Source organism: Homo sapiens, chromosome 2 (assembly GCF_000001405.40).
Source record: "Homo sapiens chromosome 2, GRCh38.p14 Primary Assembly".
Classification (NCBI taxonomy): Eukaryota; Metazoa; Chordata; class Mammalia; order Primates; family Hominidae; genus Homo; species Homo sapiens.
The window spans coordinates 70,255,845-70,281,295 of record NC_000002.12 but is presented as its reverse complement, the minus strand read 5'-3'; the positions used below and the strand labels follow the sequence as shown (position 1 = coordinate 70,281,295).

The window sequence follows — 25,451 nt, the reverse complement described above, 5'->3', positions numbered from 1 at the left end:
CTAAAACACTAATTTTCAAAACTTGTAAGAATAGTAACTTTGATCTAGCCTGACTTTCCCAAGTACATCTACATTCCAAATATAGTACAACAGAAGCAAAAGACAAGAAGTAATGATGTAGTTGTTTATTTTGAATATAATCATGAAGTGGGGAAAAATTTTAATACAAGAGTAGAAAGAGGATTCCAGAGAAAAACATTCCAGTGTATCATGGTTCTTTGTGAGTGAGTAGAGAGGGGTAGTGAGGATGCTGTCCACAATGTATTCATCTAGTTAATGAATTGTATGGCCCACAAGCTCAAACGAGAGATACATTACAGATGGTTGTATTATAAACCTAATCTTAAGAAACCTTACCAAGCAAATGCTTAAAGACTGATTTTTTTGTGATCTGATAAAAAGCCTGCAAATCGTGAATCACTTTTAAACTGTACAGAATGGACTACACACCAGTATGGTAAAGTTCTTGTAAAACACCAAACACAATGGCTCATAGATATATACCTCTCTCACTCTTAAATGGCATTTCCTAATTATAGAAAATGTTTACAACAAAAGAACAAGAGGGATCAAACTAACAATCAATAAGGAGAACTGATGTGAAGTCCCATACACTGTTACTCCATTTTTCAGCAACTCTTTATAACTCCTTCATTGACTTGACTCCTTTACAACATACAGCTGAATTGTAGAACTAGTTCTTCAAGTGTGGTTCCTATAGTAGAACAGCAGCATCACTGGGGAACTTAATAAAATGCATCTTCTTATATCCCATAACAAACTTATTGAATAAACAGGGTGGAGCCTAGCGATGTTTTAACAAGCCCTTAAGGTAACTGATGCATGCTCAACTCAGAGAGCCACTGGAGCAGAGCTGGCTTTCATTCAGCCCCTGCATCATTTTTACCAGTCTCTTCTATTAAAAAAAAAGGTCTGGAGCAGTAAGCTCTGACAGTGTTTTTTCTTCCAATAAAACTCTTAATACTATAGTTGCATAAAACTACCTAATGCGCCCAGAGTAGCAGGTTCTGCTAGGATTTTTCTCCCAGTAAAAAAGCACTCAACACTGTAGTTGCATTAAAACTACTTGATGTCCTTGGTGTATTGATAACCTGTTTTGCTTTTGCCAAAGCAATTTCAGATGCCCTACTGGAAAATTTATCCAGAGTAGGTTTGATGTAATACCAGCAACATTTTTAATTTTTTTTTTTTCCTTTTGAGACACAGTCTCACTCTTGCCCAGGCTGGAGTGCAGTGGTGCGATCTCTGCTCACTGCAACCTCCATCTCCAGGGTTCAAGCGATTCTCGCGCCTCAGCCTCCCAAGTAGCTGGGATTACTGGCACACGCCACCATGCCTGGCTAATTTTTGTATTTTTAGTAAAGACAGGGTTTCACCATGTTGGCCAGGCTGGTCTCAAACTCCCGACCTCAAGAGATCCACCTGCCTCAGCCTCCCAAAGTGCTGGTGAGCCACCATACCCAGCCTAAACTGGTTTTTGTTTTTTTTTTCTGAGACAGAGTCTCGCTCTGTTGCCAGGCTGGAGTGCAGTGGTGCGATCTTGGCTCACTGCAACCTCCGCCTCCCGGTTGAGGCAATTCTCCTGCCTCAGCCTCCCAAGTAGCTGAGATTACAGTAGCTGGGATTACAGACATGCGCCACCATGTCCAGCCAATTTTTGTGTATTCAGTAGAGATGGGGTTTCACCATGTTGGCCAGGATGGTCTTGATCTCCTGACCTCGTGATCCGTTTGCCTTGGCCTCCCAAAGTGCTGGGATTACAGGCGTGAGCCACTGCGCCCAGCCTAAATTGGTATTATAAGTAAAAATATATCCCATTGCAAAACAAGTCTACAAATGATGGAAATTAATTAGTATTTACCAACATTTAGCATATACATAACAGTATTACTTTACAAATTGTCTTCATTAAAACCACAAAAGGAAACAAATATGAATACCTCAACATATCTGTTAAGAATAAAACTAGAAAAAAACACTCTTTTGACAAACCATGAGTTTAATCCCCTACCTATCAAATATATCTTGGCAGTTTTATCAGCATATTAACATTCACAACTGTGGTAGGGAAGAAGTCATTTTTACTCAGAACCAAAGTTTACACTATTTTGCTAAAGTAGCTAATGCCATGATCTGATGAAGGACTTTGAAGTTTCTATTCAATGGAAGGATTTTTTTTTTTTAAGATGGTCTCTGTTGCCCAGGCTGGAGTACAGTGGCATGATCATGATTCACTGCAGCCTTGACCTCCAAGGCTCAAGTGATCCTCCCACCTCAGCCTCCCGAGCAGCTGGGACCACAGGCGCGCATTACCATGCCTGGCCAACTTTTTAAAAATTTTTTGTAGAGATGGGGTTTCACCATGTTGCCCAGGCTGGTCTAGGCCTTTGTAATTTTTTAATAACACTACATGTTAAATTGGTTGCATTTACTTTTGAACTCTTAATCTTTTGCTTGTTCTGTTCTACCAGTGTCTTGACAGTTAATCATGATCTTTGCACAGTAGATGCAGAACTAGTTCTGAAGTTTTGCTGCCTGTTAATTACCATTTGGATGCTTTAAAACCCTACAGGTGATTCCAATGTGCAGCCAAGGTTGAGACCACTGTCTTAAGATTTCAGCAACCAATTTCTCACCCAGAATGCTACAGTAAATGAAACACTTAACTCTTTGGACATATGCTGGACTTGGTTAACTTTGGTGTCATTCCAAGTATTCTGTTCTAGTGCCAACTGCTCAGGAGTTATTTAAGTTGCCTCTGCTGTTAGGCTGTCTGTGCTTATTATCAAGATTACTTCTAAAGTTCTTACTAAGAGAACTGAGAAAGTTCTAAAAGAAAGATCCTTGCAAAATGGATCTGCTTTGATACAGATTGGGCTTCTTAGGACTTCTAAGGCACTAAAACCCTTTGTAGGCATTTTCACACCCACATTGGTGATTCCCAACCCTGGGTGCACATTAGAAACTTTAAATAGCTACAATGCTAAGGTCCTATCCTCAGTCTTTGAATCTGAATCTCTGGTTATGGGGGGGTCTCAGTATTTTTAAAAGCTCCTGAAGTGAGGATTTAATACTAGAATGCCAGTTTCTTAATTCAGTAGCCCATATTTGCTTTTCATTTTACTTGAGATTTTTGTTTAACATCTTCAAGTTACATTACTAAGACTTCTAAATTTCACCCCTAATCAAATCAAGACAGAAGAATCAAAAGACAACATTCTGAAAGTCAAGGCTTTAGGCATGGGCACACGTACTTCAAACCGGTATGAAATTACTAAGAGTCAGGCATAAGACACCAGCTCCCATAAATTTTATCTGACTGAAGATTATATCTAGCTGTAAAATTCAAAAGGACTACTCCCCAACTAAGATGTCTTTAAGTTCTCCCTCAGGTACTCACCTTAAAATGCTCTACAATTTTGATCAAAATCCAGCGCGCCACTCCCAGACCTACTGAATCAGAATCTTCAAGAGAGGAGCTTGAGAATCCATATGGTTTAACAAACTCCAGGTGATTATTTTTATTTACTTTTGAGACGGAGTTTTGCTCGTGTTGCTCAGGCTGAAGTGCAATGGTGAGATTGGCTCACTGCAACCACCACCTCCTAACTCCAGGTGATTCTTATTATCAGACAAGTTTAAGAAAAACTCCTAATGGATAGTGAAAGAATACTTAAGAAATTTTGGAGATGGCATAAGTGCAATAGCTATACCTTCACACTTAATTAGAACCGTGTGTTTTCCTATGACCAGCAGGGATTACTTTTATTAAACAATGATAATGGCAAAATATCTGGTTCAAAATCATCTCTGCTCAGATTTTGTTCTTTTTTGCCACTGATAGTCATTTGGAACTAGGAGGGGAAAAAGGAGTGTGTCACTTCATAGTTCAGTTTTAAGTTTCTCATATAAGCCATCCTGATCAATCATGTCTGTGTGCCCGTTCCAGCGGTGATAGGCAAGGAGTGCAGCGTTGTGGGCTGCAATGGCACTCATCTCCATGGCACTTGCTGCACACTCTATGCCATTGAGGTAATAAAGTCGATCATGGAGAATGATAGAGGGGCATTTCTCCGGGGGCTTATAGTGAGGATATGCAAGCCATGGCTTCTTCACAGCATAATCATAGGACAGAAAGAGCTTTAAAATTTGTGCTTTAGTAAGAGTTTCTTGGGAAAAGATCTTCCAAACATATGTTCCATCTGTTGATGGCTCAGGATCTTCCTTTTCTCTCACAGAGGGCACAATCCCAATACTGTTAATGAACAAATCTGAATTATCAGTGGTTAAAACTGTATTAAGGCCAAATTTATCTATGGGTCTAGAGCTAAAGATAGATGTATTCAATTCCCCCTTAACTAAAGTTGTCACTATATGTTGATAATATTGATGGAATTCCTCAATTGGAGGATCAAAGTTGAGAAAAGTAATATTCGACATTTTTCGATTCAACGGAGTGGCCACCAAGACGATGTCATAGAAGTCTGAACGAGTCTCAGTTCCAATTTGGTAGACCACTTCATACATCTTTGTTGGATTTCCTAGAGGAAATAAGGAGGCATATATTTGTTTAGTGTTTCTAACATACCTTCTAAAAATAATTGTATACCTTCTTCATAATTTCTCTATAATTCTAAAGAATTGAAGAAGTTATATCCCTTAAGATAGTTGTCCCTTGCATTTTTATTACATTGAGGCCAATTTCTTATTCAGAATGTCAGTAAGTACAAAATACAGAATTTTTACTTTTGAAGGTAAGATTATCTTTCGGCCGGGCATGGTGGCTCACACCTGTAATCTCAGCACTTTGGGAGGCCGAGGTGGGTGGATCACGAGGTCAGGAGATCGAGACCATCCTGGCTAACATGGTGAAACCCCGTCTCTACTAAAAATACAAAAAATTAGCCGAGCGCGGTGGCAGGCGCCTATAGTCCCAGCTACTCGGGACGCTGAGGCAGGCGCCTATAGTCCCAGCTACTCGGGACGCTGAGGCAGGAGAATGGCGTGAACCCGGGAGGCGGAGCTTGCAGTGAGCCGAGATAGGCCACTACAGTCCGGCCTGGGCAAAAGAGCGAGACTCCATCTCAAAAAAAAAAAAGATTATTTTTCAAATCCAAGGAGTGATGCCACAGCACTTAACTACACTGGGGAATTTTTTTTTTTTTTTTTTTTTTTTAGATGGAGTCTCACTCCGTCACCCAGGCTAGAGTGCAGTGGTGTGATCTTGGCTCACTGCAACCTCTGCCCCCTGGGTTCATGTGATTCTCCTGCCTCAGCCTCCCGAGTAGCTGGGATTACAGGCACCTGCCACCACGCCCGGCTAATTTTTTGTATTTTTAGTAGAGACAGGGTTTAACTATGTTGGCCAGGCTAGTCTTGATCTCCTGACCTCAGGTGATCCACCCTCCTTGGCCTCCCAAAGTACAGGGATTACAGGCATGAGCCACCGTGCCTGGCCCATTGGGGAATATTTCTATATGGTACAATATATACAATTTCAAGTTTCATCATTTTAGAACTGAGTAAGAGATGACAGAAGAGAAGTGTTTCTCCCTGAGCAATCATTTTCTGCAGGGGATATCAGGAACAATAAGAAATTCAAGCTTACCTGTGTACTTGGTCTTTGTTTTCTCCTCGATGTACATTACTGAGCCAGATATAAGATTGCTTTTGGATGCCTGCAGAAGCCCTGAGCAAACAAGTTTATTGCCACCTTCTACTGCCCAAAGGCCAGAATCAGAACAGGACAGTGACACCGCCCCTGTCAATAGGAGGAAAAATGTGTTTTAATTCTGACTTTTTGTAAGAGGCTCTCTACCCACTCTCCCTTCCCAATTACATGTTCTACTCCAAATGTCTCTAGACATTGCTAAATGGCCCCTGGGAGCAAAATCTCCCCCAGTTAAGAATTACTGAACTAATGAAAGCTAAAGACCCTCTCCCCCTAAAAATGCACATCTACATACGCACAATTTTGCTAACAATGTCTGAGGTTCACAGAGAAAAGTAGCCTCCAATCCACAGCCTAAAGTCAGGAACCACCATAGCATCAGGTAAGCCCCTCTGTGAACTAATGTCCACCACTGTTTCAAGCCCTGGCTTACCCACAAAGGCATTGATGTCCGTGCTTTGGCCATAATTGACCCTCATAACAGGAGCAATCATTTCATTGAGGAACTTCTCAGAAAAGCCGGCCTTTTGCAAGGTTTCAAGAAGTGTTCGATTAAGCATTCCAAGGAAGTCATCTCCTCCTAGAGCATGAAGTAATTTTTCGACACTACTGAAGGCATAGTCATGAGACTGGTAGCGGTAGATCCTTTGGAAAAGAAGAGAAATCCATTAAATACCAAACAAGATGTGGGGAAGGGGATGTATAAAGAAGGGAAGTGGCGTCATAAGAATCAAACTGACATCTAGGTGCAGTGGCTCACGCCTATAATCCCCACACTTTGGGAGGCAGAGGTGGGCAGGTCACCTGAGGTCAGGAGTTCAAGACCAGCCTGGCCAACATGGCAAAACCCCAGCTTTACTAAAAATACAAAAATTAACCAGGCATAGTGGTGTATGCCTGTGGTCCCAGCTACTTGGGAGGCTGAGGCAGGAGGACTGCTTGAGCCCCGGAATTCAAGGCCGCAGTGAACTGTGATAATGCCGCTGCACTCCAGCCTGGGCCAGACAGTGACAGTGTCTCTTAAAAAAAAAAAAAGAAAAAAAAAAAGAAAAGAAACTAAGGAAGAAAGAAAGAAGAAGAAAAAGGAAAAATAAAAAGTAGAAGTAAGGCCAGGCGCGGTGGTTTCATGCCTGTAATCCTAGCTCTTTGGAAGGCCAAGGCAGGCAGATCACTAGGTCAGGAGTTTGAGACCAGCCTGACCAACATGGTGAAACCCCGTCTCTACTAAAAATACAAAAATTAGCTGGGCCTGGTGGCGCACGCCTGTAATCCCAGCTATTCAGGAGGCTGAGGCAGGAGAATCGCTTCAACCCAGAAAGCGGAGGTTGCAGTGAGCCGAGATCACACCGCTGCACTCCAGCCTGGGCAACAGAGCGAGACTCCATCTCAAAAAAAAAAAAAAAAAAAAGTAGAAGTAAAATACTTTGTCTAAAGGCCACATGGCAAGTATAAGGCTCAATCACAACTTGCCCACTCTGCTGTCAATCACCCACACATGCACAGTCTCCACTGGAGCACACCTGACCCATTCACTGGTCTCTAAATTTGCCCTACATGCTGTATCCCCACCAGTGCACAAGCTCTTCCCTCCAACCTGAATACACTTCCCATTCCTAACCATGGAACATCTATTCTTCCTTAACAGAACTTGAATCCCACCTTCTCTGAAAAGTCTTGCTCAACTTCCCAGTCCACAGTTATATCATCTCCAGAAGCCTCATAAAACTTAGCACCAATGCCACTCATTCAACAATTAGATGCTTTCTATTATTTTTTAGAAAACATCACTTGACCAAAAAGAAAAATATCACCCAACACTTCTCTGCATTTTATGGATTTAAAACAACATTCACATAAATTAGTGCATTCAGTAATTCAAACACAATTTTTCATGTTGCAAATAGTACAAAGATGGAAAACAGGCTTAAGTTTGGGATAAGTAATACGGGGTTTATCTCTTATTCCCTTAAGGGGCTTATAGTTAGGGATAAGTAATAAGGCACATGCAGAGATAAGTATATGAAAATAAGAAATTAAGAGCCAAGGAAAGATCCCTATCACTGATCATGGAAGGGAAACTTTCACATCAAGTTTTTCTCTCAAAATGTACTATATTTTTTTACAGAACAAGGGACAGTATTATAACCATTTCAGTATTACCTACTAAAAGCATAGTAGTAGTATAAGTGTACAAAATGTTAAACACATTTTTATTGGAAAAACTGATTCGATATCTATGCCAAAACTGAGAAACTAAATACCTTCTAACCATAGCATTTGGGTCCCAGTCTTTAGGAGACTGGAAAAAGTAGGATGGAAACACTGAATTCTTCAGAAAAATAATAGCCTGGATATCTCATATCCAAAGAAGAGTGATCTTTGGCTAATGGTCAACATGAGAAAATAACAGTCAATTAAATAAGCTACTAATGATGCTATAAAAAACATATTCCCCAACTGCTCCTGCCAGAGCTGCAACCTCACTCAAGCAAGTCTCCCTGGGAGGGGGCGGGGTGGCAGCGGTGAGATGAAACTATATACACAATATAAACAGAGAGCACTCTAATTGTTTCATGATACAACTAATCGTATTAGAATAAATACACTGCTGGGTATGGTGGCTCATGCCTGTAATCCTAGCACTTTGGGAGGCAAAGTGGGGCAGCATCACTTGAGGTCAGTAGTTTGAGACCGCCTGGCCAACATGGTGAAACCCCATCTCTACTAAAAATACAAAAATTATCCAGGTGTGGTGGTGCATGCCTGTAATCCCAGCTACTCAGGTGGCTGAGGCATGAGAATTGCTTGACCCAGGAGACAGAGGTTGCAGTAAGTCAAGATCACACCACTGCACTACACCCTGGATGACAGAGCAAGACTCCATCTCAAAAAAATAATAATAATAAATGAAAAAACAGAATAAATACTACTAAAAAACAGCACCCAGGTGAGGCAGCATGCACCTGTAGTCACAGCTACTCAAGAGGCTGAGGTGGGAGGATCACTTAAGCCCAGGGGCACAAGGCTGTAGTACATTATGGTTGCACCTGTGAACAGCCAGCCAATATACTCCAGCCTGGGTGACAGAGTAAGACAGGAGGATACCTTGAGGCCAGGAGTTCAAGACTAGCCTGGGCAACATAGCAAGACTCTGTCTGTACACAAAATGTAAAAATTAGCCAGGCGCAGTGGTTCATGCCTGTAATCCCAGCACTTTGGGAGGCTGAGGCGGGCAGATCGCTTGAGGTCAGGAGTTTGAGACCAGCCTGGCCAACATAGCGAAACCCCACCTCTACTAAAAATACAAAAATTAACTGGGCATGGTGGCGCATGCCTGTAATACCAGCTACTTGGGAGGTGGAGGCAGGAGAATCGCTTGAACCTGGGAGGTAGAGGTTGCAGTGAGCCGAGATCGTGCCACTGCACTCTAGCCTTGGTGACAGAGTGAAACTCCCTCTCAAAAAAAAAAAAAAAAAAATTAAAAATTAGCCAGGCTCCTATATAATAGATTGATCATGCACCATATCCACAGGAGGTTGGAAAAACCATGCCATTTTCTGGAATTTAAGGGTGTTGCATTATTTCATCAATCATTTGTTGACAAAAAAGAAAAACTAAAAAATAAATTTAAAATGTGAACCTTCAGGTATTGAGTAACACCTTTATCTTGGTATAGAACTGATACTTTTTTTTTATTTTGAAATATCTGATAATAATTTGGAATGAAGTAAGGTTCTGTTAAAGAAAATATATTTGAAGACCCTTTAAAGCAGTGAATCTGAAACAATTTTCACACCCTTAAGTGGTTGATACGTACCTATTTTTAGGTATTTTGAGGTATTTACCATAAACTAAATTTAGAAATTTTTTAGATTCACTTGAAGTAAACATTACAAACATTGGATACGGTGGGGTTTTCTTTAGATTTTACTTGAGAGAAGGTGAGTACAAAGCAATTTGCAGTTGTTGTAATGACAAGATTACTGCGCAAGTGTGAATCCAAACAGTATAGCTTTTAAATTTTAAAGCATTTGGTAAATTATCGCTGAGTTTTTTTCTGTTGCCAATAGCAAACTGCTTTTCCATTAATGGAGAATTCACGCCTTTCAAGCATTTTAAATATGACAATATTTATAAATGTATGGTTTGGAGGAATCGTTTAAATTCTCTTTCCTAATTTTCTTTCTTTTGAAGATAGATTCTTTCAACAAGTAATTTGTAGTAATGACTGTGTTGACTTCAATTTTGGAGCGCAGTAGCTATGTTAAAGATGAACTATTTGGTCTCATTGAAGCCAACACAGAACTTGCTGCTGTGTTTTTTCTTCAGTGATAAATAAAATACTTACAGAAAAAAAAAAAAAAAAAAATTAGCCAGGCATGGTGAGGCATGCCTGTAGTCCCAGCTATTCAGGAAGCTGAGGCATGAGGATCACTTCAGCCCCGCTGGTTGAGGCTGCAGTGAGCTGTGATCACACCACTGCACTCCATCCAGCTTGGGCAACAGAGTGAGACCTTGTCTTAAAAAAAACAAAAACAAAAACAAAAAAATAATAATTTTTAAAAAAATATAACTGGGGCCAGGCACAGTGGCTCACGCCTGTAATCCCAGCACTTTGGGAGGCCAAGACAGGTGGATCACCTGAGGTCAGGAGTTCGAGACCAGCCTGACCAACATGGAGAAACCCTGTCTCTACTAAAAATACAAAATTAGCCGGGCGTAGTGGTGCAGTGGCACAGTGAGCCAAGGTGAGCCGAGGAGAGCCAAGATCGTGCCACTGCACTCCAGCCTGGGCAACAGAGACAGACTCCATCTCAAAAGAAAAAAAAAAGGAGAAAATGGTCTGAAAAGAAGACTAGAAATACATGGGGTTAGGAGGGTTGAATTCTAAATAAGACTGTCCAAAAACAAGAGTGGTCAGGAAAAGCCTCACTGAGAAGATGATATAGACCAAAGACCCGAAGGAGATGAGGATGCAAACCAGGCAAACACCTGGGGGAAAATATTTCCGGTAGAGGTAAAAGCAATGCAAAGGTCACATGACAGAAGCTTGCCTGGCACATTCAAGAAACAATGAAGCCAGAGCAGCTGAAGCAGAGTGATATGGGAGAACCGGGAGTGGTACAGCCAGAAATGTTACTGGGGAGAGGAAACTTCCAGAATGGCAGAGGAAGGACCTCTGGAAATCTGCTCCTCCATAAAAGCTATGAGAATACTGCCAAAAATGATCAACATTGACTCTTTCAGAGCTCTGCAGATAAACCAAAGCCTTTCCAAGTCCAAGGAGTATTTATTCAAGAAAAATGTCTGGCAGGCATGGTGGCTCACACCTGTAATCCCAGCACTCTGGGAAGCTGAGCCAGGCGGATCACTTGAGGTCAGGAGTTCAAGACCAGCCTGCCCAACATGGTGAAACACCATCTGTACCAAAAATATAAAAAATTAGCCAGGTGTGGTGGCACACGCCTGTAATCCCAGCTATTCAGGAGGCTGAGGCAGGAGAATCGCTTGAACCCAGGAGATGGAGGTTGCAGTGAGCCAAGATCGCACCATTGCACTCCAGCCTGGGCGACAAGAGGGAGACTCCGTCGAAAGAAAGAAAGAAAGAGAAAAAGAGAGAGAGAAAAAAAAATAAAAAATAAAACCAGCACCCTTCCAACTGCAATGTGAAACTAGCAAGCTAGAAGCCACTGGAGAGAACACAACGAGTTTGTAGCTCCCAAAAAGCACTATCCTCAGAGAACTGTCAATATTTGACCTATCTGGCAGCTCCGAAAAAGCTCTATCCTGAAGGCTTGTCTTTATTCGACCTGATTCAAAGTTCACTCTATGCAACAGCCCCATCCTGAGGGCACGTGTCCACGTGTCAAAAAAAAAATCTGTGGCAATTGTTTAACATCACAGATGCCGGAGGCTATGACATCAATAGAGACTACAAGAGGCTGACCAAAAAAACTTTTTAAAAAAGGCCGGGTGCAGTGGCTCACGCCTGTAATCCCAGCACATTGGGAGGCACAGGCTGGAGGATCACTTGAGGTTAGGAGTTCGAGACCAGCCTGGCCATCATGGCGAAAACCCATCTCTACTAAAAACACAAAAAATTAGCCAGGGTTGGTGGTGCATGCCTGTAGTCCCACCTACTCAGGAGGCTGAGGCACAAGAATTGCTTGAACCCGGGAGGCAGAGGTTGCAGTGAGCCGAGATAGCGCCACTGAACTCCAGCCTGGGCAACAGAGCGAGACTCTGTCTCAAAAAAAAAAAAAAAAAAATTAGCTGGGCATGGTAGTGCACATCTGTAGTCCCAGCCACTCAAGGGGCCTGAGGTTGGAGAATTGCTTGAGCCTGGGAGGCAGAGGTTGCTGTGAACATACTACACTCTAGCCTGGGCAACAGAGTAAAACATCATCTGAAAAAAAAAAAAAAACAGACACACAGATCCTTGAAACAAATAAGAAAACCCAGAAATAAACCTTCATGAATATGATCAAATGATCTTGACAGAACTGAAATACATAGTTCAACAATAATGGAGACTTCAATATCCCATTTTCAATAATGGACAGTTACTGAAAATGACAACAGTGTATTAGTTCACCAAGACTGCCATAACACAGTACCAAAGACTGGATGGCTTAAACAAAAAAAGTTTTATTTCTTATAGTTCTGTAGGCCAAAAGTCCAAGATCAAGGTGTGGATGCATTCGGTTTCTTCTGAGGCCTATTTCCTTGGCTTGCAGATGGCCACCTTCTTGCTGTGTCCTCACATGGTCTTTGTGTGTTTCTTCTGTGTCCCAATTTTTTTTTTTTTTTTTCTGAGACAGAGTTTCACGCTTGTTGCCCAGGCTGGAGTGCAATGGCTCACTGCAACCTCTGCCGCCCAGGTTCAAGTGATTCTCTTGCCTCAGCCTTCCTGAGTAGCTGGGATTACAAGCATGCACCACCACGCCCAGCTAATTTTTTGTATTTTTAGTAGAGAAGGGGTTTCACCATGTTGGTCAGGCTGGTCTCGAACTCCCAACCTCAGGTGATCTGCCCGCCTTGGCCTCCTTTCTGTGTCCTAATCTTAAGGACACCCATCAAATTGTTTTAGGGTCTACGCTAAAGACCTCATTTTAACTTAATCACATATTTAAAGGCCCTACATACATATGCAGTCACATTCTGAGTACTGGGTGGCTAGTGTTTCAACCTATGAATTTTGGGGAAAACAAATTTAAAAGTAAGGGATGAGAGCACAGAATCCTGTCATGTCTTCTCAGTCACAAAACAGATTTTGGCTATAAATCTCTATTAATGAAATAGCCACTGAAGGTTTCTGAGTTAGTGGAGTGATGTGATGAGCCTTAGATTTTAAAGAACTACTTTGGCTGCTAACCTGAGAACAAATGGTAGCAATATAACAGTAATGGCAGATGATTTAGGAGGTGTCTTGGTTTTCCACTGCTGCTATAACAAATTACCACAAACTTAGTGGCTTAAAACAACACAAATTTACGGCCGGGTGCAGTGGCTCACACCTGTAATCCCAGCACTTTGGGAGGCTGAGGCGGGTGGATCACGAGGTCAGGAGTGCAAGACCTGCCTGGCCAAGATGGTGAAACCCCATCTCTACTAAAAATACAAAAATTAGCCGGGCATGGTGGTGGGCGCCTGTGATCCCAACTACTCGGGAGGCTGAGGCAGAGAACTGCTTGAACCCAGGAGGCGGAGGCTGCAGTGAGCCAAGATTGTGCCACTGCACTCCAGCCTGGGTGACAGAGCAAGACTCTGTCTCAAAACAAAAAACAGCTCTCCCTCTCCCCCTCCCCCTCCCCCTCTCCCTCTCCACGGTCTCCCTCTGATGCCGAGCCAAGGCTGGACTGTACTGCTGCCATCTCGACTCACTGCAACCTCCCTGCCTGATTCTCCTGCTTCAGCCTGCCAAGTGCCTGGGATTGCAGGCGCGCGCCGCCACGCCTGACTGGTTTTCGTATTTTTTGGTGGAGACGGGGTTTCACCGTGTTGGCCGGGCTGGTCTCCAGTTCCTGACCATGAGTGATCTGCCAGCCTCGGCCTCCCGAGGTGCCAGGATTGCAGACGGAGTGTCGCTCACTCAGTGCTCAATGTTGCCCAGGCTGGAGTGCAGTGGCGTGATCTCGGCTCGCTACAACCTCCACCTCCCAGCCGCCTGCCTTGACCTCCCAAAAGTGCTGAGATTGCAGCCTCTGCCCAGCCGCCACCCCGTCTAGGAAGTGAGGAGTGTCTTTGCCTGGCCGCCCATCGTCTGGGATGTGAGGAACTCCTCTGCCCGGCCGCCCAGTCTGGGAAGTGAGGAGCGCCTCTTCCCGGCCGTCATCCCGTCTAGGAAGTGAGGAGCGTCTCTGCCCGGCTGCCCATCGTCTGGGATGTGGGGAGCGCCTCTGCCCCGCCGCCCCGTCTGAGATGTGAAGAGCGCCTCTGCCCGGCCGCGACGCCGTCTGGGAACTGAGGAGTGTCTCTGCCCCGCCGCCATCCCGTCTGGGAGGTGAGGAGCCTCTCTGACCAGCCGCCCTCTCTGAGAAGTGAGGAGCCCCTCCGCCCAGCAGCCGCCCTGTCTGGGAAGTGAGGAGCCCCTCTGCCCAGCCGCCACCCCGTCTGGGAGGTGTACCCAATAGCTCATTGAGAACGGGCCATGATGACGATGGCAGTTTTGTCGAATAGAAGTGGGGGAAATGTGGGGAAAGGAAGGAGAGATCGGATTGTTACTGTGTCTGTGTAGAAAGAGGTGGACATAGGAGACTCCATTTTGTTCTGTAGTAAGAGAAATTCTTCTGCCTTGGAATGCTGTTTATCTATGACCTTACCCCCAACCCCATGCTCTCTGAAACATGTGCTGTGTCCACTAAGGGTTAAATGGATTAAGGGCGGTGCAAGATGTGCTTTGTTAAACAGATGCTTGAAGGCAGCATACTCGTTAAGAGTCATCACCACTCCCTAATCTCAAGTACCCAGGGACACAAACACTGCGGAAGGCGGCAGGGCCCTCTGCCTAGGAAAACCAGAGACCTTTGTTCACATGTTTATCCGCTGACCTTCCCTCCACTATTGTCCTATGACCCTGCCAAATCCCCCTCTCCGAAGAACACCCAAGAATGATTAATAAATACTAACAAAAAAAAAAAAAGTTATAATCTTACGGTTCTGTAAATTAGAAGACCAAAGTCAGTCTCTCCGGGCTAAAATCAAGGTGTGCACAAGGCTGGTTCCTTCTAGAAGCTCTGAGGGAAGACTGTCTTTTCCAGCCTCTACAGGCCACCTGCATTCCTTGGCTCGTGGACGCACACCCCTTCCTAGCATCACTCCAATCTCTTCCTTCCATCATCACATCTCCTACTACCTACCCTGATCCTCCTGCCTCTCTAAGGACCCTTGTGATTATATTGGGCCCACCTAGATAATCCAGAATAATCTACCCATCCTTAACCATATCTGCAACGTCTCTTTTACCTCAAAAGGTAACACATTCACAGGTTCCAGGAATTAAGACATGGACATCTTGTGGCAGACAGCAGGGGAGAGGATTATTCAGCCTATAATAGGAGGCTACTCTAGCAATCCAGACAAGAGACAGTGGTGGTGACTTGGAACAAAGTGGTAGCAGTAATCCTGGAGAGAAGTAGTGGAATACTGGATGTATTTTAAAGGCTGATGGGATTCAAGATAGAGTGGGTTTGGGAAATGAAAGAACAAAAATTGACTCAAAATATTTGGTAGGAGTAACTGGAAGGAAGAAAGGGTGTTTATAAAGCCTTTCCCTGTGAGTCTATCAGTCTCAGATCAAGAAGTGTTAAGGATCTTACAAGTCCCCAGAAATGCACTAACTTGAGAGAGAAGAATAAGCTTTAACCTAGTCTACAAGCCAAGATATCTCAACAGGAAGCCATCAGCAGACCAGAGATTTAAATTCCACAAACATCTGAGTAAACATCTACTACATTCTAGTTACTGTGCGTAGCATAGAACACAAGCACACAGTGTGCACCGTATAATAAGGGATGTTTGAAAAGAAAGATGAATGTTGATTGAAGCATTAAGGAAATGCTTTGCTGAAAAAGTGAGATAAGAGGTTGGACTTGGGAGTAAAGAATGGCATCCGGCTGAGCGCGGTGGCTCACGCCTGTAATCCCAACACTTTGGGAGGCCAAGGTGGGAGGATCACTTGAGCCCAGGAGTTCAAGATCAGCTTGGGCAACATGGCAACACCCTGTCTCTACAAAAATTTAAAAAATTAGCCAAGCATGATGGCACATGCCTATAGTCCCAGCTGAGGCTGGAAGATGACTTGAGACCAGGAGGTCAAAGCTGCAGTGAGCTGTGATTGCACCACCGTACTCCAGCCTGGGTGACGGAGCAAGACTTGGTCTCAAAAAAAAAAAAAAAAAAAAAATTAGTTAAGAATGGCATCCAACCAGAACAACTACATAAATGTATGTGCAGAAGTGGAAATTAAGCTAGCTAGTGCTGATGTCAGGGGCTGCAGGATTTCCACTCAAGTACCTCCAACAGCAGAGAATGAATGAATGCACTGTTTTCGAGTATTGCCTACCACAAGCTTGAGCCCTCTTTCGAGTGTCATGGTTTACTACTGTTACATAGGTCTTTCTCCACCTTGTGTATACTTTGATCTTGGCTCACCACAACCTCCGCTTCCTGGGTTCAAGCGATTCTACTGCCTCAGCCTCCCAAGTAGCTGGCATTAGCTGCGCCTCCACACCCAGCTAATTTTTGTATTTTTAGCAAGGCGGAGTTTCACCATGTTGGCCAGGCTGGTCTCGAACTCCTGACCTCAAGATCTATCTGCCTTGGCCTCCCAAAGTGCTGGGATTACAGGCGTGTGCCACCGCGCCCGGCCCGTAAATTATTTTTTAAAGTCAAAAACAGTATAACCTATGTATCCCCTCACTGGTTCTTTTTCCCAGTTCTGTAATACCTTGAATTCACTTCAAAAGTGATTTCTTAGGCCAGGTGCGGTGGCTCATGCCTGTAATCGCAGCACTTTAGGAGGCCAAGGCGGGCAGATCAATTAAGGCCAGGAGTTTGAGACCAGCCTAGCCAACATGGTAAAACCCCATCTCTACTAAAAATAAAAAAATTATCTGGGTATGGTGGCACATGCCTGTAATCCCAGCTACTCAGGAGGCTGAGGCAGGAGAATCGCTTGGACTCAGGAGGCAGAGGTTGCAGTGAGCCGAGATTGCACCACTGCACTCCAGCCTGGGTGACAGAGTGAAACTCATCTCAAAAAAAAAAAAGTAATTTCTTAATTTCTCAAAGGGCAATTCTCTACATCTCAAGCAAGCCACAGATAAAAAAAAAAACAAGGCTGGGAACAGGAGCTCACAACCGTAATCCCAACACTTTGGGAGGCCCAGGTGAGTGGAACACTCGAGCCCAGGAATTCAAGACCAGCCTGGGCAACATGGCCAAACCTCATCTCTACAAAAAAAATACAAAAAATTAGCCAGATCTGATGGCACGTGCCTGTAGTCCCAGCTACACAGAGGCTAAGGTAGGCAGATCCCCTGAGCCCAGGAGGTCCAGGCTGCAGTGAGCCATGATCACACCACTGCACTCCAGCCTGGGTGACAGAGTGAGACCTGTATCAAAAAAAAAAAAAAAAAAAAGAGGGCCGGGCACAGTGGCTCACGCCTATAATCCCAACACTTTGGGAAGCCGAGACAGGCAGATCACAAGGTCAGGAGTTTGAGACCAGCCTGGCTAACACGGTGAAACCACATCTCTACTAAAAATACAAAAAATTAACCAGGCATGGTGGCATGTGCCTGTAGTCCCAGCTACTCAGGAGGCTGAGGCAGGAGAATCACTTGAACCTGGGAGGCAGATGTTGCAGTAAGCCGAGATCCCGCCACTGCACTCCAGCCTGGGCGACAAAACGAGACTCTATCTCAAAAAAAAAAAAGAAAAGAAAAGAAAAACAATACACACAAGCAGGGCTGATGCCATCAGAACTTGATCTGCCTGCTGAGTATGCAGCACCATGCCACCCACCTTCTATAAAGTGACTGGCCGTCTCTACGCAAATTCTATATATTTCCTTGGTTGTGTATTGCCTGTCTCTCCACTAGAATATATATTCTTTGAGGACAAGGACATGTTGTAGGTCCTATACTCTCAACATAGAACAATGCCTAGCACCTAACAGGTATTCAATATTGGGTGAATGAATGAATGGCTACTTAAAAACATTATGCACTGTAGATGGACTTAAGGTACCCACGGGAAAGGCATTTAAGGAACTGACCTAAGAATGATGTTGAGAAAGAAAGAAACCCCAAACTACCATGAGTTATAGAAACCAGAGCATATCCTGCTTAGCTTTCTTTTTTTTTTTTTTAGACAGTCTGGCTCTGTCCCCCAGGCTAGAGTGTAATGGCACGATCGTGGCTCACTGCAACCTCTGCCTCCCAGGTTCAAGTGATTCTCCTGCCTCAGGCTCACAAGTAGCTGGGATTACAGGCATGCACCACCACGCCGGCTAAATTTTTATATTTTTTGTAGAGACAGGGTTTTACCATGTTGGTCAGGCTGGTCTCAAACTCCTGACCTCAGGTGATCCACCAGCCTCAGCCTCCCAAAATTCTGGGATTAGAGGCATAAGCCACTGTGCCCAGCCCTGCTTAACTCATATTTGTCCTGTTCAATACCTGGTCATATGACATGTTTTGTTTTGTTTTGTTTTTCCCCTCAAGATGGAATCTTGTTCTGTCACCCAGGCTGGAGTGTAATGATGCGATCCTGGCCTCCAGTACCTAAAACTGTAAAGCAGCATAAAAATTAGCATGTGCTAGCCGGGCACAGTGGCTCATGCCTGCAATCCCAACACTTTGGGAGGCTGAGGCAGGCGGATCACGAGGTCAGGAGATCAAGACCATCCTGGCTAACACAGTGAAACCCCGTCTCTACTAAAAATACAAAAAATTAGCCAGGCACAGTGGCAGGCACCTGTAATCCCAGCTATTCGGGAGTCTGAGGCAGGAGAATCGCTTGAACCAGGGAGGCAGAGGTTGCAGTGAGCCGAGATGGTGCCACTGCACTCCAGCCCGGGCGACAGAGCAAAACTCCATCTCAAAAAAAAAAAAAAAAAAAATTAGCACATGCCGGCCAAGCTCGGTAGCTCACACCTGTAATCCCAGCACTTTGGGAGGCCGAGGCAGGTGGATCACCTGAGGTCAGGAGTTCGAGACCAGCCTGGCCAAGAGGGTGAAACCCCATCTCTACTAAAAATACAAAAATTAGCTGGGCGTGGTGGCAGGCATCTGTAATCCCAGCTACTCGGGAGCCTGAGGCAGGAGTATCGCTTGAACCCAAGAGGCAGAGGTTGCAGTGAGCCAATATCGAACCATTGCACTCCAGCCTAGGCAACAAGCGAAACTCCATCTCAAAAACAAAAAAACAAAAAAACTAAAAAACTAGAACATGCCAACAGCTTTAAAAATACAGATTGTACCTTTCAAAATTAGACTGGCTATTTTATGTTAGTCTTCCTGATTACCAAAGTGATACATATTCACACGCATTAAAAAAACTGTTTAAATATAGAAAAGCATAAGGACGAAAAAGAGGCACCTGAATTCTCACTACCCAAAACAGTGCTAGAATGTAAATTCTTGGAATATGGAACTTTTACTCTACTTCAGGCTGCTGGTTCACTGAAAACATGTCACTATTAAAGGCCATTTAAGTTTTCTGATCCTTTCTACAAGCTCTTGTACACATTATCTCAATTCATATACACAACACCAGCACAGCATAGAGATTAAGAGTGAAGACTCAAAGGCCAGACTGCCTGGGTGGCAACTCCAGCTATACCACTTACTATGTGGGTGAACTTGCCTTTTAAAACCTCTCTACACCGCCACCTTCTGCATCTGTTTAAAGAAGCTAAAAACAGTACCTACCAGAGTAAGTTGTCATAAGAATTCAAGGCATCTAACAGTATCTGGCAACACTAAAGAAGCATTTGCAAAATACACTTCAGAAGCAAAAATAAACCAACCTTTCAATATCCAAGCAAATAGTCTGCATAGTTTCTACAAAACATTTTGCCTAACAATGTTATAAACAGGCCTTGCTGTGAGGTAGAAAATGCTTACAAGAAATCATAATTCCTAAAGTTCATCAAGTTTAATTTAACCTAAATTAAAAGATCTTAGGTTAAATGGAAGGAAAAAAAATTACCTCATGAACTTGTCTAACACGTCCTCTACCCACATGTGCATACGGAGGGATTGAAATCCATAGCGCCAAACTAATTTAATCACGTTAATTATGAACCAGTTGCTCTCCTCAAATACCAGAGTCTCTCCATTATATATCCCCAGTAGGCCACCAGAGGCCTGAACAGCAGAGAGACCTGCAAAAACATAAAGCACAGCTAAGTCAGTGGTGTCTATGCTGATCAAATGAAAGAACGTAATCTGAGTGAATTTGGGGCTTCCCTCAGTTCTCAGGAGACACATAAAGGAGCTCTATCTTTGGAACAGTGTGAAACACTATACTTTCACTACACTGTCCAAAAGCAGATTTGCTAGGCGATGGGTCAGATGATCATGTAAATATTAATATATCAAAAGTAGATATATTTTTACCTGGCTATTTTTAGACTAAAAGTCTAAAAAAACTGGATAGTCAAAGGAAAAAAGCCAGAGTACCAACTGAATTCAATTTAAAAACAAAGATGTCAGACATGCATCTTCGTGGCATAATTTGTTCTGGGTATACCTTCGCCCTCGTGGAGGAAACGGAAGCAGAGGCAGCATCTACAGAGGATGTGGAAGGCAGCTGAGGCACTTCCATTCCTGTGAGAATCCTATTTTGCAAAACTGGATATTTCAGATAACTGGAAGGAGGCCAAAGTTACAAAATACTCCCTGCCGAAAGGGCCTCCAGAGGCCTGTCAGACTTTCCCCATGACCTATCCAGCTCCTCTGCTGTCAGGGCAGCAGTTGCACATCCCAAGTTCTAGGCACGTGTCTGCATCCACAGCTGTGTGACGGAGTTTGTTTTGTTGGTGGTGGTTTGTTTTGATAGGGTCTCACTTTGTTGCCCAGGCTGGAGTGCAGTGGCATGCAAGGCTCACTGCAGCTTCTATCTCCCAGGCTCAAGGGATCCTCCTGCCTCTGCCTCCCAAGAAGCTGGGACTACAGGTTTGTGCCATCACACCAGGCTAACTTTTTTATTTTTAGTAAAGACAGGATCTCACTATGTTGCCCAGACTGGTTTCTAACTCCTGGGCTCAAGTGATCCTCTGCCTCGGCCTCCCAAAGTGCTGGGATTACAGGCATGAGCCACTGACCCTGGCCATGGCCATATGTGAGTGACTTTGAGCCAGACAATTCAAGTCTCTGGGTCTCATTTACTCAGCTGCAAAATGATCACAATGAGATGACTATCTCCAAACCTTCTCTGATTCTTTAACACAAACCCAGAATTTTAAGAACAGACAACAGAGGCCGGGCACGGTGGCTCACCCCTGTAATCCCAGCACTTTGGAAGGCCAAGGCAGGCGGATCACCTGAGGTCAGGAGTTCAAGACCAGCTGGCCAACATGGTGAAACCCCGTCACTACTGAAAATACAAAAATTAGCTGGGCGTGGTGGCAGGCACCTGTAATCCCAGCTACTCAGGAGGCTAAGGCAGGAGAATCGCTTGAACCCGGGAGGCAGAGGTTGCAGTGAGCCAAGATCGCACCATTGCACTCCAGCCTGAGCGACAAGAGCGAAACTCCTCAAAAGAAAAAAAAAGACAATGGCAGCCATTCCCACCCCCACCCCATGGCTGTAATTCCAGATAACTGAAGATACAGACAACTAGTGTCCCATTACAGCAGAACTGCTCCTAACTCAGGCAGTACCAACTAACAAGAAAGTGAGGAAAACAGTTTTACCAACGTCTCTGTAAGGCAATTAACAAGGCAGAAATTTCAGTTCTCCATCTGATAAAAATATCCGGGGATGTCACACAGTAATCTGGTGAGCTCCAAGACCAAAATTACATACCCAGGTCTTTGACAAAACGTTTCATGTGCAGATTTAAAGGATGGATGACAGAACCTCCTGCCTCGTATTCTTGCCCCTGCACCATCATGGTAGCCAGGCGGCCCCCGACCTCTTCTCTTTCAAACAGGTCTATCTTCACATCTTTCCCAAATTTCTGCCGCAGGTAATAGGCTGCTGAAGTGCCACCAATTCCGGCTCCAATAATCGCTATGAGGGAAAAAAACAGAAGATTATATTTTCCCCTTTTACCAGCTCTGTGAGTTGTTTTGTTTTTGAAAGACCATCAATAGCAGAGGTTGTTACTCAAAGCTATTACCAACAATTTGGTGGGGGAAGAGTGACACCTGCAGCGAAGGTCTAACTCCCTGAATCTGGACAGACACTGTTCCCAGACAAAAGCAGTAGATTAATTAACATATTGACATTAACTCGATTTTTTTTCCAGATGCCCAAAGATTCTCACAGGTCTTTATGGAGGAACCAAGGGGCCTGCACACCCTTCCAGATGCCCAACTCACGGGCACATTAGAGGTGGACCTTTCCAGCACGCATTTTTAATAAAGTGACGGCCATTTATGCCTAGCTTTGTTGTGTCTAGATTCAATGTAGATAGGTTAATGATACCGAAGAACACAACTTTAAAGGGGGGCGGGAGGGAGACAGGAAGCAAAGAGCCAAGGCTCCTGACACTGGAGCTCTTGACAGTGGAAAGAGAACAGATTCTTTCTGCAGCTGTGTTAGTCCTAGGCGGAGAAACTGTGCAAGCCAAGGGCCTCTGAGAGCAGGCCGACCTCAGCAAAGCGGAGCTGGGGGAAGGCGGTTCAGCCTCCCAAGGGAAGCAGGCAGGGTCAACTTGTTTGCACTCCTCCCTGTGCTGTGCCTGCGTGAGCCTGTTAATCTGGCCGGGCGCCCCAGGTCAAGCCAGAACACTGGAGTCTTCACGGTCAGTGTTCAACGGGAAGATAGAGAAACCTAGGCCTCCCCGGAGCCCCACACCTAAGAGACAGGGGCTACAGGTACGCTAGGCGCCTGCCTGCCCGCCCGCCCCTGTCCCCGTCCACGCCCATTCCTCAAGTGGGCACCTCTCCACGCCTGGGAATGCACAGTCCTATTCCGACCAGAGCTGAAAGCCGCCCTGAAGTGTGAATGGGGGAAAGCGCGACCTGCGCAGCTGGCTCGGCCTGCACCGCTGGACTGCGTCGCGGCTGTGGGATCTGGGCGCACTGCGCAGCGGCCGCCCGGCGCGGGGCGCGCTCCAGCACCTTCCCGCGCCGCCCCCTTCTCGCCTACCGATTTTATCTGGCGGAGCACGCAGCTCGGCGCCCTCGGGGCATCCGCAGCTGCACAGCAACAGCCACAACCCCAGCAGCGAGGAGACGAGCTCCGCGACGACGCGCCCCATGGCCTCCACAAGCTCTGCAGCTGGCCTCAAGAGCCCCGCAGTCCTCCCACCGCTGCGCGGCTGCGCGCTCCGCCCAGCCCCGCCCCCAGGCCGCCCAGCCCCTGCGAGCCCCGCCCAGGTCCTGCGAGCCCCGCCCCGACCTCGCCCCGCCGGTCCTCTCAACCCTGCAGGAGCTCCCCACTCTGGGCCACTCAGTGCCCTAAGCACATCCTGCCGCCTCGAAGCCCACCCTCCTTCAGAAGACATCGAAGGCAGAAGCTGGCCGGGCGCGGTGGCTCAAGCCTGTAATCCCAGCACTTTGGGAGGCCGAGGTGGGTGGATCATGAGGTCAGGAGATCGAGACCATCCTGGCTAACACGGTGAAACCCCGTCTCTACTAAAAATACAAAAATTTAGCTCGGCATAGTGGCGGGCGCCTGTAGTCCCAGCTACTCGGGAGGCTGAGGCAGGAGAATGGCGTGAACCCGGGAGGCGGAGCTTGCAGTGAGCCGAGATTGCGCCACTGCACTCCAGCCTGGGAGACAGAGCCAGACTCCGTCTCAAAAAAAAAAAAAAAAAAAAAAAGGCAGAAGCTGAGGCTCGCCTCAGCTCTCCTCCTCCTTCCCTATCTATTTGGGTGAAGCACCTTAGTTCTTCACTAGTACCCTCTTCTGTTCCCTCCGTCGCTCCTCTCAAAGAATGCGCACAGCTAATCGCTGCCAGAAACAGACCAAAGGGACAACAGTACTTACTGAGTGATCACCCTGTTGCGAGAACTGTAAGGTTCTCCGTGAATGGGTAAATGGTGCTAACTGTAAAGAAAAATGAGGGAGACTGAGGATGGGGTGGCCCAAGGTGAAGGGGGTGTAATAGTAGTAACAGACATGAATAAAAGTAGTGTACCTGTAAGGACACCAGAATGTGCCACCCCAAAATACGCCTCTTTAGCCTAAGGATTATTTCAAGCCGAAGACAATTGAGAAGATGTAGATACGATGTAGATACGTGGGTGGAAAGTTCTCCGCCTTCCCCATTTGCCTAAAAGCAGGACATAAATTTTATTTTTTTAACAATTTTTAAATATATTGCATTTTATTACATAAAAGTAAAATTAGTAAAATAATATAATTTGATATACTTTATAATTTATAATTTCTCTCAGTATAATGTAGAAAAGTATTACTCTGAACACTTACTTTTTTTTTTTTTTTTTGAGACGGAGTCTCGCTCTGTTGCCCAGTCTGGAGTGCAGTGGTGCGATCTCAGCTCACTGCAAACTCTACGTCCCGGGTTCAAGCAATTCTTCTGCCTCAGCCTGTAGCTGGGACTACAGGCACCCGCCACCGTGCCTGGCTAATTTTGTGTATTTTTAGTAGAGACGAGGTTTCAGTGTGTCAGCCAGGATGGTCTCGATCTCCTGACCTCATGATCCACCCGCCTCGGCCTCACAAAGTGCTGGGATTACAGGTGTGAGCCACCGCGCCTGGCCATGAACACCTACCTTAAACATTACTTAATTTAGGCTAACTACAATGAGCCTCGCTACTTATATTTTTATCATGCATCTTACATTTTAATGTCCTTACTCTTTTATAGAAAAGGTCATAAAGAATGCCCAACTAATAAAGAATCTCTAATATCTCTGATACAGCAACAACTGATCACATACTTTCACATGTGAATACAATAGAAATAAAGTAACAGCATAAAGTAATTTGAAAGCTGTATTATATTATTATTCACTTTTCAAAAAATTGTTTTCAAGGAAACAAATATACTTTCAATGTAATTACAAAGCTTCAAAAAAACTCCTTTTAAAGTTATATACAAATAATTTAACAACTTTAATTGTGAATTCATTTTTATACTCAACACTCCTATTTAGTGTAATGTCTGAAGTAAAGCAGGACATAAATTTTAAAAGGCAAAGGTATCCCTCTTCCCACACTGCCTGGAAGGACAAAGGTTAATCACTAAAGACAATTTTACGCCTGTTAAATAAAATTCATAGGAAGCCATTGGTTTGGACTGAGCTCCTGCACTAGACTAGGCCCAACAGACTAAACCAAAATGGAGTCACTCAAGTCACTCATGTTCCACATCACAAGGTCAAAACTAAGTTGTCGATCTGACTTTCTAAGAAATCAGGAGAAAGAAAAATAATAGCCAAATTCCCGACAGACCAGTTTGAAGTGACATGATAAGGAAATACCCTCTGCTTTAAACTTTTCAAGGAAAGTAACCTCGAAACAACCAATGCACTTTTCTGTTTCTGCTTTCTTCAGCCCTTTCTGAAAGCCAACCTCCTCCACTCAACTCATAGGAACACTCATTCGATTTT

The 25,451-nt window shown here is 44.7% G+C and overlaps 1 protein-coding gene across 2 annotated transcripts, besides 2 other annotated features; it reads right to left on the bottom strand.

Annotated features, from left to right (window-relative positions):
* Positions 1–110: 110 nt before the first annotated feature.
* PCYOX1 (prenylcysteine oxidase 1) lies at positions 111–23,381 on the bottom strand. 2 transcript variants are annotated; one of them, XM_047444689.1, is made up of 6 exons: positions 23,361–23,381; positions 21,730–21,936; positions 19,910–20,084; positions 6,126–6,337; positions 5,630–5,782; positions 111–4,562 (listed from the first exon to the last, which is right to left on the bottom strand). In XM_047444689.1, the coding sequence occupies exons 2-6, from the start codon at positions 21,815–21,817 to the stop codon at positions 3,904–3,906; spliced, it is 1,287 nt and encodes a 428-aa protein (XP_047300645.1). In that variant the 5' UTR covers positions 21,818–21,936; positions 23,361–23,381; the 3' UTR covers positions 111–3,903. The 2 variants fall into 2 exon arrangements, with proteins under 2 accessions (XP_047300645.1, NP_057381.3); NM_016297.4 differs by lacking the exon at positions 23,361–23,381 and adding an exon at positions 23,020–23,159.
* Positions 22,794–22,903: a silencer, noted in NCBI's record as "silent region_11610". NCBI's record gives its function as "represses an Ori minimal core promoter by ATAC-STARR-seq in GM12878 lymphoblastoid cells {active_cell/tissue: GM12878}" and the evidence as "EXISTENCE:reporter gene assay evidence [ECO:0000049][PMID:35858748]".
* Positions 23,174–23,303: a silencer, noted in NCBI's record as "silent region_11609". NCBI's record gives its function as "represses an Ori minimal core promoter by ATAC-STARR-seq in GM12878 lymphoblastoid cells {active_cell/tissue: GM12878}" and the evidence as "EXISTENCE:reporter gene assay evidence [ECO:0000049][PMID:35858748]".